The sequence below is a fragment of the Homo sapiens genome, chromosome 7 (assembly GCF_000001405.40).
Source record: "Homo sapiens chromosome 7, GRCh38.p14 Primary Assembly".
NCBI lineage: Eukaryota > Metazoa > Chordata > Mammalia > Primates > Hominidae > Homo > Homo sapiens.
Window position 1 is genome coordinate 61,099,134 of NC_000007.14, and position 17,910 is coordinate 61,117,043.

The following is a 17,910-nucleotide window of genomic DNA, read 5'->3' on the forward strand; positions in this document are numbered from 1 at the left end:
AGCAGTTTTGGAATACACTTCTTGTAGAATTTACATGGGGATATTAGGACAGGATTGAGGATTTCGTTGGAAATGGGAATATCTTCACATAAAAACTAGACAGAAGGATTCTCAGAAAATTTTTTGTGATGCTTGCATTCAACTCACAGAGTTGAACATTCCCTTTCATAGAGCCGTTTTGAAACACTCTTTTTGTAGTATATGGAAAAGCATATTTGGAGCCCTTTGAGGCCTATGGTGAAAAAGGAAATATCTTCACATAAAAACTAGACAGAGGCATTATCAGAAACTTCTTTGTGATGGTGTACTCAACTCACAGAGTTGATCCTTTCTTTTGATACAGCAGTTTTGAAACACTGTTTTGTAGAATATGCAAGTGGATATTTGGATAGCTTTGAGGATTTCGTTGGAAACGGGAATATCTTCACGTAAAAACTAGAGAGAAGCATTCTAAGAAACTTCTTTGTTATGTTTGCATTCAACTCACAGAGTTGAACATTCTCTTTCATAGAGCACTTTGAAACACATTTTTTGTAGTATCCGGAATTGGACATTTGGAGCACTTTGAGGTCTACGGTGAAAAAGGAAATATGTTCACATAAAAACTAGACAGAAGCATTGTCAGAAACTTCTTAGTGATGTGTGTACTCTATGCACATATTTGAACCTTTGTCTCATTACAGCAGTTTTGAAACACTCTTTTTGTAGAATCTGCAAGTGGATATTTGGATAGATTTGAGGTTTTCTTTGGAAACGTGAAAATCTTCACATAAAAACTAGACAGAAGCATTCTCTGAAACTTCTTTGAGATGCTTGCATTCAAATCACAGAGGTGAACATTCCTTTTCATAGAGCAGTTTTGAAACACTCTTTTTGTAGAATCTGCAAGTGGACATTTGGAGCATTTGAGACCTATGGTGAAAAAGGAAATATCTTCACATAAAAGTAGACAGAAGCATTCTCAGAAACTACTTTGCGATGTGTGTACTCAATTCACAGAGTTAAACCTTCCCTTTGATACAGCAGTTTTGAAACACTCTTCTTGTAGAATTTACAGGCGGATATTTGGACAGCATTGGGGTTTTCGTTGGAAACTGGACTATCTTAACATAAAACTAGACAAAAGCATTCTCAGAAAGTTCTATGTGATGTGTGCATTCAACTCACAGCGTTGAAACTTTCTTTTGAAAGAGCAGATTAGAAACCCTCTCTTTGTAGAATTTACAAGGGGATATTTGGACAGCTTTGAAGCCTCGCTGGAAACCGGTATATATTCACAAAAAAAATAGACAGAAGCATTCTCAGAAACTACTTTGTGATGCTTGCATTCAACTCACAGAGTTGAACATTCCTTTTCACAGAGCACTTTTGAAACACTCTTTTTGTAGAATCTGTAAGTGGAAACTTGGAGCGCTTTGAGGCCTTTGGTGAAAAAGGAAATATCTCCCCTTAAAAACTAGACAGAAGAATTCTCAGAAACTTCTTTGTGAACTGTGTACTCAACTCACTGATTTGAACTTTTCTTTTGATAGAGCAGTTTTGAAACACTCTTTTTGTAGAGTCTGCAAGTGGATATTTGGATAGCTTTGAGGATTTCTTTGGAAACGGGAATACCTTCACATAAAAACTAGACAGAAGCATTCTCAGAAACTTCTTTGTGATGTTTGCATTCAACTCACAGAGTTGAACATTCCCTTTCATAGAGCAGTTTTGAAACACTCTTTTTGTAGGGTCTGCAAGTGCATATTTGGATAGCTTTGAGGATTTCTTTGGAAACGGGAATACCTTCACATAAAAACTAGACAGAAGCATTCTCAGAAACTTCTTTGTGATGTTTGCATTCAAATCACAGAATTGAACATTCCCTTCCATAGAGCAGTTTTGAAACACTCTTTTTGAAGTATCTGGAAGTGGATATTTGTAGCGCTTTGAGGCCTATGGTGAAAAAGGAAATATCTTCACATAAAAACTAGACAGAAGCATTCTCAGAAACTTGTTTGTGATGTGTGTACTCAACTCACAGAGTTGAACCATTCTTTTGGTACAGCAGTTTTGAAACACTCTTTTTGTACAATCTGGAAGTGGATATTTTGATAGCTTTGAGGCTTTCGTTGGAAACGGCAATATCTTCACATAAAAACTAGACAGAAGCACTCTCAGAAAATCCTTTGTGATGTTTGCTTTCAACTCACCGAGTTGAACACTCATTTTCTTAGAGCAGTTTTGAAACACTCTTTTTGTAGAATTTGCAAGTGGACATTTGGACAGCTTTGAGGCCTTCACTGAAAACGGGTATATATTCACAAAAAAACTAGACAGAAGCACTCTCAGAAACTTCTTTGTGATATGTGTACTCAACTCACAGAGTTGATCCTTTCTTTAGAAACAGCAGTTTTTAAACACTCTTTTGTAGAATCTGCAAGTGGATATTTATATAGCTTTGAGGCTTTCGTTGGAAACGGGAATATCTTCACATAAAAACTAGACAGAAGCATTCTCAGAAACTTCTTTGTGATATTTTCATTCAACTCACAGAGTTGAACATTCCTTTTCATAGAGCAGTTTTGAAACACTCTTTTTGTAGAATCTGCAAGTGGACATTTGGAGCGATTTGAGACCTATGGTGAAAAAGGAAATATCTTCACATAAAAAGTAGACGGAAGCATTCTCAGAAACTAATTTGTGGTGTGTGTACTCAACTCACATAGTTAAACCTTTCCTTTGATACAGCAGTTTTGAAACACTCTTATTGTAGAATTTACAAGTGGATATTAAGACAGCATTGAGGATTTCCTTGGAAACGGTAATATCTTCGCATAAAACTAGACAGAAGCATTCTCACAAACTTCTCGGTGATGTGTGCATTCAATTCACAGAGTTGAAACTTTCTTTTGATGGAGCAGATTGGAAACCTTCTTTTTGTAGAATTTCCAAGTGGATATTTGAACAGCTTTGAGGCCTTCGCTGGAAACGGGTATATATTCACAAAAAAACTAGACAGCAGCATTCTCAGAAACTTCTTTCTGATGCTTGCATTCAACTCACAGAGTAGAACATTCTTTTCATAGAGCAGTTTTGAAATACTCTTTTTGTAGAATCTGTAAGTGGAAACTTGGAGCACTTTCAGGTCTTTGGTGAAAAACGAAATATCGTCCCATAAAAACTAGACAGAAGAATTCTCAGAAACTTCTTTGTGATGTGTGTACTCAACTCACAGAGTAGAACTTTTCTTCTCATGGAACAGTTTTGAAACACTCTTTTTGTAGAATCTGCAAGGGGATTTTGGATTGCTTTGAGGATTTCGTTGGAAACGGGAATATCTTCATATAAAAAGTAGGCTGAAACATTCTCAGAAACTTCTTTGTGATGTTTGCATTCAGCTCACAGAGTTGAACATTCCCTTTCATAGAGCAGTTTTGAAACACTCTTTTTGTAGTATCTGGAAGTGAACATTTGGAGCGCTTTGAGGCCTGTGGTGAAAAAGGAAATATCTTCCCATAAAAACTAGGCAGAATCATTCTCAGAAACTTCTTTGTGATGTGTGTACTCAACTCACAGATTTGAACCTTTCTTTTTTTATAGCAGTTTTGAAACACTCTTTTTGTAGAATCTGCAAGTGGATATTTGTATAGCTTTGAGGCTTTTATTGGAAACGGGAGTATCTTCACATAAAAACTAGACAGAAGCATTCTAGGTAAATTCTTTGTGATGTTTGCATTCAACTCACAGAGTTGAACATATCTCTTCATAGAGCAGTACTGAAACACTCTTTTCGTAGAATTTGCAAGTGGATATTTAGACTGCTTTGAGGCCTTCATTAGAAACGGGAATATCTTCACATATAAGCTAGACAGAAGAATTCTCAGAAACTTCTTTGTGATGTGTACAGTCAACTCACAGAGTTTAACCTTTCTTTTGATAGAACAGTTTTTAAACAATCTTTTTGTAGAATCTGCAAGTGGACATTTGGAGAGCTTTCAGGCCTGTGTTGGAAAACGAAATATCTTCACATAAAAACTAGACAGAAGCCTTGTCAGAAACCTCTTTGTTTTATTTTATTTCATTTTATTTTATTTTTTTTTATTATTATGCTTTAAGTTTTAGGGTACATGTGCACATTGTGCAGGTTAGTTACACATGTATACATGTGCCGTGCTGGTGCGCTGCACCCACTAACTCGTCATCTAGCATTAGGTATATCTCCCAATGCAATCCCTCCCCCCTCCCCCCACCCCACCACAGTCCCCAGAGTGTGATATTCCCCTTCCTGTGTCCATGTGATCTCATTGTTCAATACCCACCTATGAGTGAGAATATACGGTGTTTGGTTTTTTGTTCTTGCAATAGTTTACTGAGAATGATGATTTCCAATTTCATCCATGTCCCTACAAAGGACGTGAACTCATCATTTTTTATGGCTGCATAGTATTCCATGGTGTATATGTGCCACATTTTCTTAATCCAGTCTATCATTGTTGGACATTTGGGTTGGTTCCAAGTCTTTGCCATTGTGAATAATGCTGCAATAAACATATGTGTGCCTGTGTCTTTATAGCAGCATGATTTATAGTCCTTTGGGTATATACCCAGTAATGGGATGGCTGGGTCAAATGGTATTTCTAGTTCTAGATCCCTGAGGAATCGCCACACTGACTTCCACAATGGTTGAACTAGTTTACAGTCCCACCAGCAGTGTAAAAGTGTTCCTATTTCTCCACATCCTCTCCAGCACCTGTTGTTTCCTGACTTTTTAATGATCGCCATTCTAACTGGTGTGAGATGGTATCTCATAGTGGTTTTGATTTGCATTTCTCTGATGGCCAGTGATGACGAGCATTGTTTTCATGTGTTTTTTGGCTGCATAAATGTGTTCTTTTGAGAAGTGTCTGTTCATATCCTTCACCCACTTTTTGATGGGGTTGTTTGTTTTTTTCTTGTAAATTTGTTTGAGTTCATTGTAGATTCTGGATATTAGCCCTTTGTCAGATGAGTAGGTTGCGAAAATTTTCTGCCATTCTGTAGGTTGCCTGTTCACTCTGATGGTAGTTTCTTTTGCTGTGCAGAAGCTCTTTATTTTAATTAGATCCCATTTGTCAATTTTGTCTTTTGTTGCCATTGCTTTTGGTGTTTTGGACATGAAGTCCTTGCCCATGCCTATGTCCTGAATGGTAATGCCTAGGTTTTCTTCTAGGGTTTTTATGGTTTTAGGTCTAATGTTTAAATCTTTAATCCATCTTGAATTGATTTTTGTATAAGGTGTAAGTAAGGGATCCAGTTTCAGCTTTCTACATATGGCTAGCCAGTTTTCCCAGCACCATTTATTAAATAGGGAATCCTTTCCCCATTGCTTGTTTTTCTCAGGTTTGTCAAAGATCAGATAGTTGTATATATGTGGCATTATTTCTGAGGGCTCTGTTCTGTTCCATTGATCTATGTCTCTGTTTTGGTACCAGTACCATGCTGTTTTGGTTACTGTAGCCTTGTAGTATAGTTTGAAGTCAGGTAGCGTGATGCCTCCAGCTTTGTTCTTTTGGCTTAGAATTGACTTGGTGATGCGGGCTCTTTTTTGGTTCCATATGAACTTTAAAGTAGTTTTTTCCAATTCTGTGAAGAAAGTCATTGGTAGCTTGATGGGGATAGCATTGAATCTGTAAATTACCTTGGGCTGTATGGCCATTTTCACGATATTGATTCTTCCTATGGGTGCAAAAATCACAAGCATTCTTATACACCAAAAACAGACAAACAGAGAGCCAAATCATGAGTGAACTCTCATTCACAATTGCTTCAAAGAGAATAAAATACCTAGGAATCCAACTTACAAGGGATGTGAAGGACCTCTTCAAGGAGAACTACAAACCACTGCTCAAAGAAATAAAAGAGGATACAAACAAATCAGAAACCTCTTTGTGATGTGTGCATTCAACTCACGTAGTTGAACATACCTTTTCTGAGAGCAGTTTTAAAACACTGTTTCCTTAATATCTGCAAGTGGATATTGGGACTGCTTGAGGCCTTCCTTGGAAACGGGGATATCTTCACATAAAAAGTAGACAGAAGCATTCTCAGAAACTTCTTTGTGATGTGTGTATTCAACTCACAGAGTTGAACCTTTCTTTTGATAGAAAAGTTTTGAAACACTCTTTTTGTAGAATCTGGAATTGGACTTTAGGAAAGCTTTGAGGCCTATGGTGGAAAAGGAAATATCTTCACATAAAAACCTGACAGAAGCATTCTCAGAAACTACTTTGTGATGTTTGCATTCAGCTCATAGAGTTGAATATACCTGTTCATAGAGGAGTTCTGAAACACTCTTTCTGTAGAATTTGCAGAATATTTGGACTGCATGGAGTCTTTCACTGGAAACGGGAATATCTTCATATACAAGCTAGACAGAAGCATTCTCAGAAACTTCTTTGGGATGTGTGCATTCAACTCACAGAGTTGAACCTTTCTTTTGATAGAGCAGTTTTGAAACACTCTTTTTGTACAATCTGCAAGTGGACATTTGGAAAGCTTTTAGGCCTGTGGTGGAAAAGGAAATATCTTCACATAAAATCTAGACAGAAGCATTCTCAGAAACTTCTTTGTGATGTCTGCATTCAACTCACAGAGGTGAAACTTTCCTTTGAACGAACAGTTGTGAAACACTCTTTTGGTAAAATCTGCGAGTGGACATTTGGAGAGCTTTGAAGCCTATGGTGGAAAAGGAAATATCTTCACATAAAATCTAGACAGAAGAATTATCAGAAACTTCTTTGTGACGAGTGCATTCAACTCAGATTTGAACCTTTCTTTTCATAGAGCAGTTTTGAGACACTCTTTTTGTAGAATCTCTTAGTGAATTTATGGTGGGTTAGAAGGCTATGCTGTAAAACGAAATATTTTCACATAAAAACTAGACAGAAGCATTCTCAGAAACTTCTTTGGGACGTTTCCATTAAACCCACAGAGCTGAACCTTTCTTTTGATAGAACAGTTTTGAAACACTGTTTTTGTAGAATCTGCCAGTGAACATTTGTAGTGGTTTGAGGCCTATGGAGGAAAAGGAAATATCTTCACACAAAAACCAGACAGAAGCATTCTCAGAAATTTCTTTGTGATGTTTGCATTCAACTGAAAGCATTGAACATACCTGTTCATAGAGTCATACAGAAACACTCTTTTCGTAGAATCTGCAAGTGGATATTTCGACTGCTTTGAGGCCTTCGTTGGAAACGGGAATATCTTCACATATAAGCTAGACAGAAGAATTCTCAGAAATATTTTGTGATGTGTACATTCAGCTCACAGAATTGAACCTTTCTTTTGATAGAACAGTTTTTAAACACTGTTTTTGAAGAATCTGCAAGTGCACATTTGGAGGGATTTGAGGCCAGTGGTGGAAAAGGAAATATCTTCACATAAAAACTAGACAGAAGCATTCTCAGAAACTTCTTTGAGACGTGTGCATTCAACTCACAGAGTTGAACATACTTTTTCTTAGAGCACTTTTGAAACACTCTTTTTGGAGAATCTGCAAGTGGATATTGAGACTGCCTTGAGGCCTTCTTAGGAAACGAGAATATCTTCACATAAAAAGTAGACAGAAGCATTCTCAGAAACTTATTTGTGAAGTGTGCATTCAACTCACAGATTTGAAACTTTCTTTTGGTAGAGCAGTTTTGAAACACTCTTTTTGTAGTATCTGAAATTGGAAATTAAGAGAGCTTTGTGGCCTATGGTGGAAAAGGAAATATCTTCACATGAAAACCAGAGGGAAGCATTCTCAGAAACTACTTTATGATGTGTGCATTCACCTCACAGAGTTGAACATACCTCTTCATAGAGGAGTTCTGAAACACTCTTTTTGTAGAATCTGCAAGTGGATATTTGGACTGCCTGGAGACCTTCACTGTAAACGGGAATATCTTCACATATAAGCAAGACAGAAGCATTCTCAGAAACTTCTTTGTGATGTGTGCATTCAACTCACAGAGTTGAACCTTTCTTTTGATAGAGCAGTTTTGAAAAGATCTTTTTGTAGAATCAGTAAGTGGACATTTGGAAAGCTTTGTGGCCAATGGAAGAAGAGGAAATATCTTCACATAAAAACTGGACAGAAGTATTCTCGAAAACTTCTCTGTAATGTTTGCATTCAATTCACAGAGTGGAACGTAACTTTTCATAGAGCAGTTTTGAAACACTCTTTTCTTAGAATCTGCAAGTGGATATTTAGACTGCTTTGAGGCCTTCGTTGGAAACGGGAATATCTTCACATAAAACTATACAGAAGCATTCTCAGAAACTTCTTTGTGATGTGTGTGTTCAACTCACAGAGTTCAACCTTTCTTCTGTTAGAGCAGTTTTGAAACACTCTTTTTGCAGAATTCGCAAGTGGACATTAGGAGAGCTTTGAAGCCAACGGTGGAAAAGGAAATCTCTTAACATAAAAAGTAGACAGAAGCATTTTCAGAAACTTTTTGTGATGTTTTCATTCAACTCAAAGAGTTGAACATACCTTTTCATAGAGCAGTACTGAAACACTCTTTTCGTAGAATCTGCAAGTGCACATTTGGAGAGCTTTGAGGCCTGTGGTGGAAAAGGAAATAACTTCACATAAAAACTAGACAGAAGCATCCTCAGAAACTTCATTGAGACGTGTGCATTCCACTCACAGAGTTGAACATACCTTTTCTTAGAGCACTTTTGAAACACTCTTTTCGTAGATTCTGCAAGTGGATATTGGGACTGCTTTGAAGCCTTCTTGGGAAACGGGAATATCTTCACATAAAAAGTAGACAGAAGCATTCTCAGAAACTTCTTTGTGATGTGTGCATTCAACTCATGGTGTTGAACCTTTCTTTTGATAGAGCACTTTTGAAACTCTCTTTTTCTAGAATCTTCAAGTGGTCATTTGGAAAGCTTTGAGGCCTATGGAGGAAAAGGAAATATCTTCACATAAAAACTAGACAGAAGTATTCTCACAAACTTCCTTGTAATGTGCGCATTCAATTCACAGAGTTAAACCTTTCTTTTGATAGAGCAGTTTTGAAACACTCTTTTTGTAGAATCTGCAAGTGGATATTTGGAGCACTTTGAGGCCTATGGTGGAAAAGCAAATGTCTTCACATGAAATCTAGACAGAAGGATTCTCAGAAACTTCTTTGTGATGTGTGCATTAAACTCACAGAGTTGAACCTATCTTTTGATGGAGCAGTTTTGAAACACATATTTTATAGAAACTGGAAGTGGATATTTTGTTCCCTTTGAGGCCTATGATGAAAAATGAACTATCTTCACATAAATCTAGCAGAATTCACCCAAACTTCTTTGTGATGTGTGCACTCAACTCACAGTGTTGAAAGTTTCTTTTGATTGAGCAGTTTTGAAACACTCTTTTGTATAATCTGAAAGTTGATATTTCTTTCCTTTTGAGGCTTATGTTGGAAAACGAAATATCTCCTCATAAAAACTAGACAGAAGTATTCTCAGTAACTTCTTTGTGATGTGTGCATTCATCTCACAGAATTGAACGTTTCTTTTGACAGAGCAGTTTTGAAACACTTTCTTTGTAGAATCTGCACGTGGATGTTTGGAGCACTTTGAGGCCTATGGTGGAAAAGGAAATATCTTCACATAAAAACTAGACAGAAGCCATCTCAGAAGCTTCCTTGTGATGTGCGCATTCAACTCACAGAGTTGAACCTATCTTTTGATAGAGCAGTTTTGAAACTCACATTTTGTAGAATCTGCAGGTGGATATTAGGAGTGATTTGAGGCCTATGGAGGAAAAGGAAATATCTTCACATAAAAACTAGACAGAAGTCATCTCAGAAACTTCTTTGTGATGTGCGAATTCAACTCACAGAGTTGAACCTATCTTTTGATAGAGCAGTTTTGAAAGTCTTTTTGTAGTATCTCCAAGTGAATATATGGAGGGCTTAGAGGGCTATGTTGTAAAAGGAAATATATTCACATAAAAACTAGACAGAATCATTCTCAGAAACTTCCCTGTGATTTGTGCATTCAACTCGAAGAGTTCAAAAGTTCTTTTGATAGAGCAGTTTGGAAACACTCTTTTTGTAGAATCGGCAAGTGGATATTTGGAGCGCTTTGAATCCTATGTTGGAAAAGGAAATACCTTCACATAAAAACTATACAGAAGCATTTTCAGAAACTTTTTGTGATGTGTGCATTCAACTCACAGATTTGAACCTATCTTTTAATAGAGCAGTTTTGAAACACTCATTTTGTAGAAACTGCAAGTGGATATTTTGTTCCCTTTGAGGCCTATGATGGTAAACGAACTATCTTCACATAAATCTAGACAGAATTCACCCAAGCTTCTTTGAGATGCTTGCATTCAACTCACAGAGTTGAAACTTTCTTTTGATAGAGCAGCTTTGAAACACTCTCTTTGCAGTATCTGCACATGGATGATTGGAGCACTTTGAGGCCTGTGGTGGAAAAGGAAATATCTTCACATAAAAACTAGACAGATGTGTGCATTCAACTCAAAGAGTTGAAACTTTCTTTTGATAGAGCAGTTTTGAAACACTCTTTTTGTAGAATCTGCAGGTGGATATTTGTAGTGCTATGTGGCCTATGGCGGAAAAGGAAATATCTTCACATAAAAACTAGACAGAAGAATTCTCAGAAACTTCTTTGATATGTGTTCATTTAACTCATAGATTTGAACCTTTCTTTTGATAGAGCAGTTTTGAAACTCTCTTTCTGTAGAATCTCCAAGTGAATATATGGAAGGCTTAGAGGGCTATGTTGTAAAACGAAATATCTTCACATAAAAAATTGAAAGAAGCATTCTGAGAAACTTCCCTGTGATGTGCGCATTCAACTCAAATAGAGCAGTTCGGAAACACTCTTTTTGTAGAATCTGCAAGTGTATATTTTGTTCCATTTGAGGCCTTTGGTGGAAAAGGAAATGTCTTCACATGAAAACTGGACAGAAGAATTCTCAGAAACTTCTTTGTGATGTGTGCATTCAACTCACAGAGTTGAACCTATCTTTTGATGGAGCAGTTTTGAAACACACATTTTGTAGAAACTGCAAGTGGATATTTTGTTCCCTTTGAGTCCTATGATGGAAAATGAACTATCTTCACATAAATCTAGACAGAATTCACCCAAACTTCTTTGTGATGTGTGCATTCAACTCACAGTGTTGGAAGTTTCTTTTGATTGAGCAGTTTTGAAACACTCTTTTTGTAGAATCTGCAAGTGGATATTTGGAGCGATTTGAGGCCTATGGTAGAAAATGAAATATCTTCATGTAAAAACTAGACAGAAGCATTCTCAGAAACTACTATGTGATGTCTTCATTCAGCTCACAGATTTGAACCTTCCTTTGATAGAGCAGTGTTGAAACACTCTTTTTGTAGAATCTGCAAGTGGATATATGAAGCGCTATGCAGTCTATGGAAGAAAAGGAAATATCTTCATATAAAAACTAGACAGAAGCATTATCAGAAACTAATTAACGATGTGTACATTCAACTCACAACGTTGAAACTTTCTTTTGATAGAGCAGTTTTGAAACATTCTTTTCGTAGAATCTGCAAGTGGATATACAGAGCACTTTGAGACATTCGGTGGCAATGGGAATATCTTAACATAAAAAGTTGACAGAAACATTTTCAGAAACTCCTTTGTGATGTGCACACTCAACTCAAAGAGTTAAACCTTTCTTTTGATAGAGAAGTTTTGAAACACTCTTTTTGTACAATCTGCAAGTGGATATATAGAGTGCTTTGAGGTCTTTGGTAGAAAAGGAAATATCTTCATATCAAAACTAGACAGAAGCATTTGGTGATGTGTGCATTCAACTCACAGAGCTGGACCTTTCTTCTGATAGAGCAGTTTTGAAACACTCGTTTTGTATAATCTGCAAGTTGATATTTGGATAGCTTTGAGGCTTTTGTTGGAAACGGGAATATCTTCACATAAAAACTAGACAGAGACATTCTCAGAAACTACTTTGTGATGTGTGCATTCAACTCACAGTGTTGAACCTTTCTTTTGATAGAGCAGCTTGGAAACACTCTTTTTGTAGAATCTGCAAGTGGCCATTTGGAGAGCTTTGAGGCCTATGGTGGAAAGGGAAATATCTTCACATGAAAACTAGACAGAAGCATACTCAGAAACTTCTTTGTGATGTGTGCATTCAACTCACACATTTGAACTCACCTTTTCATAGAGCGGTTTTGAAACACTCTTTTTGTAGTATCTGCAAGTGGATATTTGGGCCGGTTTGAGGCTTTCGTAGGAAACGGCAATATCTTCCCATAAAATTAGACAGAACCATTCTCAGAAATTTCTTTGTGATGTGAGCATTCAACTCACAGTGTTGAAACTTTCCTTTAATAAAGTAGTTTTGAAACACTGTTTTTGTAGCATCTGTAAGTTGATATTTGGACCACTTTGAGGCCTTCGTTGGAAAAGGGAATATCGCACCTGAAAACTAGAGAGAAGAATGCTCAGTAACTTCTTTGTGATTTGTGCATTCAACACACAGAGTTGAAGCTTCGTTTTGATAGAGCAGTATTGAAACACTCTTTTTGTAGTATCTTCAAGTGGATATACTGAGCGCTTTGAGGCCTTCAGTGGAAACGGGAATATCTTCCCATAAAAACTAGACAGAAACACTTTCACAAACTTCTTTGTGATGTGCGCATTCAGCTCACAGAGTTGAAACTTCCTTTTGATAGAGCAGTTATGAAACAATCTTTTTGTAGAATCTGCAAGTGGATATAAGGTTCGCTTTGAGGCCTATGGAAGGAAAGGAAATATCTTCATGTAAAAAATAGACAGAAACATTCTTAGAAACTACTTAGTGATGTGAGCATTCAACTCTCTGAGCTGAAACTTTCTTTTGATAGAGCAGTTTTGAAACACTCGTTTTGTAGAATCCGCAAGTGGATATATGGACCGCTTTGTGGCCTATGGTAGAAAAGGAAATATGTTCATATAAAAACTAGACAGAAGCATTCTAAGAAAATGTTTGTGTTGTGTGCATTCAACTCACAGATTTGAAACTTTCTTTTGATAGAGACGTTTTGAATCATTCTTTTTGTATAATCTGCAAGTGGACATTTGGAGCACTATGAGGTCTGTGGTGGAAAAGAAATATCTTCATATAAAAACTAGACAGAAGCATTGTCAGAAACTACTTTTTGATGTGTGCATGCAACTCACAGAGTTGAACCTTTCTTTTGATAGAGCAGTTTGCAAACATTCTTTTTGAAGAATCTGCCAGTGGATATATGGAGCCCTTTGAGGCCTTCAGTGGAAACGGGATTATCTTCACATAAAAACTAGACAGAAGCATTCTCAGAAACTTATTTTTGATGTGTGCACTCAACTCACACAGTTGAACCAGACTTTTGATAGAGCAGATCTGAAACACTTTTTTTGTAGAATCTGCTAGTCGATGTTTGGAGGGTATTGAGGCCTAAGGTGGCAAGGGGAATATCTTCACCTAAAAACTAGACAGAAGCACTCTCAGAATCTGCTTTGTGATGTGTGCCTTCAGCTCACAGAGTTGAACTTTCCTTTTGATAGAGCAGTTTTGAAACACTCTTTTTCTAGAATCTGCAAGTGGATAATAGAGGGCTTTGAGGCCTACTGTTGAAACGGGAATATCTTCACCTAAAAACTAGACAGAAGCATTCTCAGAAACTGCTATGTGATGTGTTCATTCACCTCACAGAGTTGAACCTTTCTTTTGATACAGCAGTGTTGAAGCACTCTTTTTGTAGAATCTGCAAGTGGATATATGGAGCACTTTGAGGTCTATGGAAGAAAAGGGAATATCTTCATATAAAAACTAGACAGAAGCATTCTCAGAAACTACTTAGCAATGTGTGCATTCAACTCACAGAGTTGAAACTTTCTTTTGATAGAGCAGTTTTGAAACACTCTTTTCGTAGAATCTGCAAGTGGATATACAGAGCACTTTGAGGCCTCCAGTGGAAATGGGAATATCTTCACATAAAAAGTTAATAGAAGCATTCTCAGAAACTGCTTTGTGATGTGCGCATTCAGCTCACAGAGTTGAAACTTCCTTTTGGTACAGCAGTTTTGAAACCATCTTTTTGTAGAATCTGCAAGTGGATATATGGATCACTTTGAGGCCTATGGAAGAAAAGGAAATATCTTCATATAAAAACTAGACAGAAGCATTCTAGGAAACTACTTAATGATGTGTGCATTCAACCCACATAGTTGAAACTTTCTTTTGATAGATCAGTTTTGAAACTCTCGTTTTGTAGGATCCGCAAGTGGATATACGGAGCACTTTGAGGCCTCCAGTGGAAATGGGAATATCTTAAAATAAAAAGTTGACAGAAGCATTCACGGAAAATTCTTTATGATGTACACATTCAACTAACAGTGTTAAAACTTTCTTTTATAGAGCAGTTTTGAAACACACTTTTTGTAGAATCTCTAAGTGGATATATGGAGAGCTTTGAGGCCTATGTTAGAAAAGGAAGTATCTTCAAATAAAAACTAGACAGAAGCATTCTCAGAAACTTAGTGATTTGTGCATTCAACTCACAAAGTTGAACCTTTCTTTTGATAGAGGAGTGTTGAAACACTCTTTTTGTAGAATCTGCAAGAGGATATATAGAGTCCTTTGAGGCCTTTGGTAGAAAAGGAAATATCTTCATATAAAAACTAGACAAAAGCAGTTGGTTATGAGTGCACTAAACTCACAGAGTTGAACATTTCTTTTGATAGAGCAGTTTTGAAACACTCTTTTTGTAGAAACCTCAAGTGGATACATGGAGCGATTTGAAGCCTTTGGTAGAAAATGAATTATCTTCATATAAAAATTAGACAGAAGCATTCACAGAAACTTCTATGTGATACGTTCATTCAACTCACAGAGTTGAACCTTTCTTTTGATAGAGCAGTGTTGAAACACTCTTCTTGTAGAATCTGCAAGTGGACATTTGGAGAGCTTTGAGGGTTGTGGTGGAAATGGAAATATATTCATATAAAATCGAGACAGAAGCATTCTCAGAAACTACTTTGTGATGTGTGTATTCAACTCACAGAGTTGAACCTTATTTTGATAGAATGGGTTTGAAACACTCTTTTTGTAGAATCCGCAAGTGGACATTTGGAGAGCTTTGAGGCCTATGGTGGAAAAGGAAATATCTACACATAAAAACTAGACAGAAGCATTCTCAGAAACGACTTTGTGATGTGTGCATTCAACTGACATATTTGTACACACCTTTTCATAGAGCAGTTTTGAAACACTCTTTTTTAGTATCTGCAAGTGGATATTTGGAGCACATTTATGATATTTGGAGCACATTTATGCCTATGGTAGAAAAGGAAATATCTTCACATAAAAACTAGACGGAAGCATTCTCAGAAACGAATTTGTGATGTGTGCATTCTACTCCCATAGTTGAAAATTTCTTTCGATAGAGCAGTCTGGAAACACTCTGATTGTAAAATCTGCAAATGGACATTTGGAGCGCTTTGAAGGTTATGGTGGAAAAGGGAATATCTTCGCATTAAAACTAGACAGAAGCATTCTCAGAAACTTCTTTGTGATGTGTGCATTCAACTCCCAGGTTGAACCTTTCTTTTGTTAGAGCAGTTTTGAAACACTCCTTTTGTAGAATCTGCAGGCGGATATTTAAGTACTCTTTGAAGCATTCTTTGGAAACGAGAATATCTTCACATGAAACCTAGACAGAAGCATTCTCAGAAACGTCTTTGTGATGTGTCCATTCAACTCACAGAGTTGATAGAACAGTTTTGATAAAGCAGTTTTGAAACACTCTTTTTAAAGAATCTGCCAGTTCATATTTGCCGTGCTTTGAGGCTTATGGTAGAAAAGGAAATATCTTCCTATAAAACCTAGACAGAAGCATTCTCAGAAACGACTTTGTGATGTGTGCATTCTACACACAAAGTTGAAACTTTCTTTTGATAGAGCAGTTTTGAAACAGTCTTTCCGAAGAATCTTCAAGTGGGCATTTCGAGGGCTTTGAGGACCATTGCGGATAAGGAAATATCTTCCCATAAGGAGTAGACAGAAGTATAATCAGAAACTACATTTTGATGTGTACATTCAACTCACAAAGCAGACCCTTACTTTTGATGGAGAAGTTTTGAAACACTCTTCTTGTAGAATCTGCAATTGGATATTTGGAGCGCTTTCAGGCCTCTGGTAGAAAAGGAAGTATCTTCACATAAAAACTAGACAGAAGCATTCTCAGAAACGACTTTGTGATGTGTGTATTCTACTCCCATAGTTGAACATTTCTTTTGATAGAGCAGCCTGGAAACAATCTTCTTGTAGAATCTGCAAGTGGACATTTGGAGCGTCTTGAAGGCTGTGGTTGAAAAGGTAATATCTTCACCTAAAAACTAAATGGAAGCATTCTCAGAAACTTTCTGTGATGTGTGCGTTCAACTCACAGAGCTGAACCTTCCTTTTTATAGACCAGTTTTGAATCACTCTTTTTGTAGGATCCGCATTTAGATATTTGGAGCGCTTTGAAGACTTCATTGGAATCGCGAATATCTTCACATAAAAACTAGACAGAAGCATTCTCAGAAACTTCTTTGAGATGTGTGCATTCAACTCACGGAGCTGAACCTTTCTTTTGATAGTGCAGTTTTGAAACATTCTTTTTAAAAAATCTGCAGTTGGACATTTGGAGCTCTTTTAGGCTATCGGTTGAAAAGGAAATATCTTCACATTAAAACAAGACGGAAGCATTCTCCGAAACTCCTTTATGATGTCTGCATTCAACTCACAGAGTTGAACCTTCCTTTTGATAGAGCAGTTTTGAAACACTCTTTCTGTAGAATCTGGAGGAGGATATTAGGGTGCTTTGAAGCCTTCTTGGGAAACAGGATTATCTTCACATAAAAATTAGACAGAAGCATTCTCAGAAACTTCTTTGTGATGTGTGCATTCAACTCACAGCGTTGAAACTTCCTTTTGCTAGAGCAGTTTTGAAACCCTCTTTTTGAAGAATCTGAAAGTGCATAATTGCAGCACTTTGAGGCTTAAGGTAGAAAAGGAAATATCTTCATATAAAAACTAGACAGAAGCATTCTCAGAAACTACTTTGTGATGTGTGCATTCTACTCACATAGTTGAAATTTCCTTCTGATACTGCAGTTTTGAAACCGTCTTTTTGAGGAATCTTCGAGTGGGCATTTTGAGGGCTTTGGGGACTATTGTGGATAAGGAAATATCTTCACATGAATAGTAGACAGAAGTGTTCTCAGAAACTTCATTTTGATGGGTGCATTCAAGTAACAAAGTACAACCTTACTTTTATAGAGCAGTTGTGAAACAGTCTTTTTGTAGACTCTGCAAGTGGATATTTGGAGCGCTTTGAAGCCTTCGTTGGAAACGGGAATATCTTCCCATTGAAACTAGACAGAAGCATTCTCAGAAACTTCTTTGTGATGTGGGCATTGAACTCACGGAGCTGAACCTTCCTTTGGATTGAGCAGTTTTGAAAAACTCTTCCTTTATAATCTGCAGGTGGATATTTGGAGTGCTTTGAAGCCTTCTTTGGAAACGGGAGTATCGTCACCTAAAAATAGACAGAAGTATTCTCAGAGACTTCTTTGTGATTTGTGCATTCAACTCACAGAGTTGAAGCTTCTTTTTGACAGAGCAGTTTTGAAACACCCTTTTTGCACAATCTGCAGGAGGATATTTGGAGCTCTTTGAATGCTACATTGGAAACGGGAATATCGTCACCGAAAAACTAGAAAGAAGCATTCTCTGAAACCACTTTATGATGTGTGCATTCATCTCACAGAGTTGAACCTTCCTTTTGATAGAGCAGTTTTGAAACCCTGTTTTTGTACAATCTGCAAGTGGATATTTGGAGCAAATTGAAGCCTTCTTTGGAAATGGGA

General features: G+C 37.0%; 3 annotated features.

Annotated features, from left to right (window-relative positions):
* Nucleotides 1,268–2,034: an enhancer, noted in NCBI's record as "OCT4-NANOG-H3K27ac hESC enhancer chr7:61083126-61083892 (GRCh37/hg19 assembly coordinates)". NCBI's record gives its function as "activates a minimal SCP1, AML or CMV promoter by ChIP-STARR-seq in primed H9 embryonic stem cells {active_cell/tissue: H9 hESC(primed)}" and the evidence as "EXISTENCE:reporter gene assay evidence [ECO:0000049][PMID:30033119]".
* Nucleotides 2,035–2,799: an enhancer, noted in NCBI's record as "OCT4-NANOG-H3K27ac hESC enhancer chr7:61083893-61084657 (GRCh37/hg19 assembly coordinates)". NCBI's record gives its function as "activates a minimal SCP1, AML or CMV promoter by ChIP-STARR-seq in primed H9 embryonic stem cells {active_cell/tissue: H9 hESC(primed)}" and the evidence as "EXISTENCE:reporter gene assay evidence [ECO:0000049][PMID:30033119]".
* Nucleotides 3,103–3,697: an enhancer, noted in NCBI's record as "OCT4-NANOG hESC enhancer chr7:61084961-61085555 (GRCh37/hg19 assembly coordinates)". NCBI's record gives its function as "activates a minimal SCP1, AML or CMV promoter by ChIP-STARR-seq in primed H9 embryonic stem cells {active_cell/tissue: H9 hESC(primed)}" and the evidence as "EXISTENCE:reporter gene assay evidence [ECO:0000049][PMID:30033119]".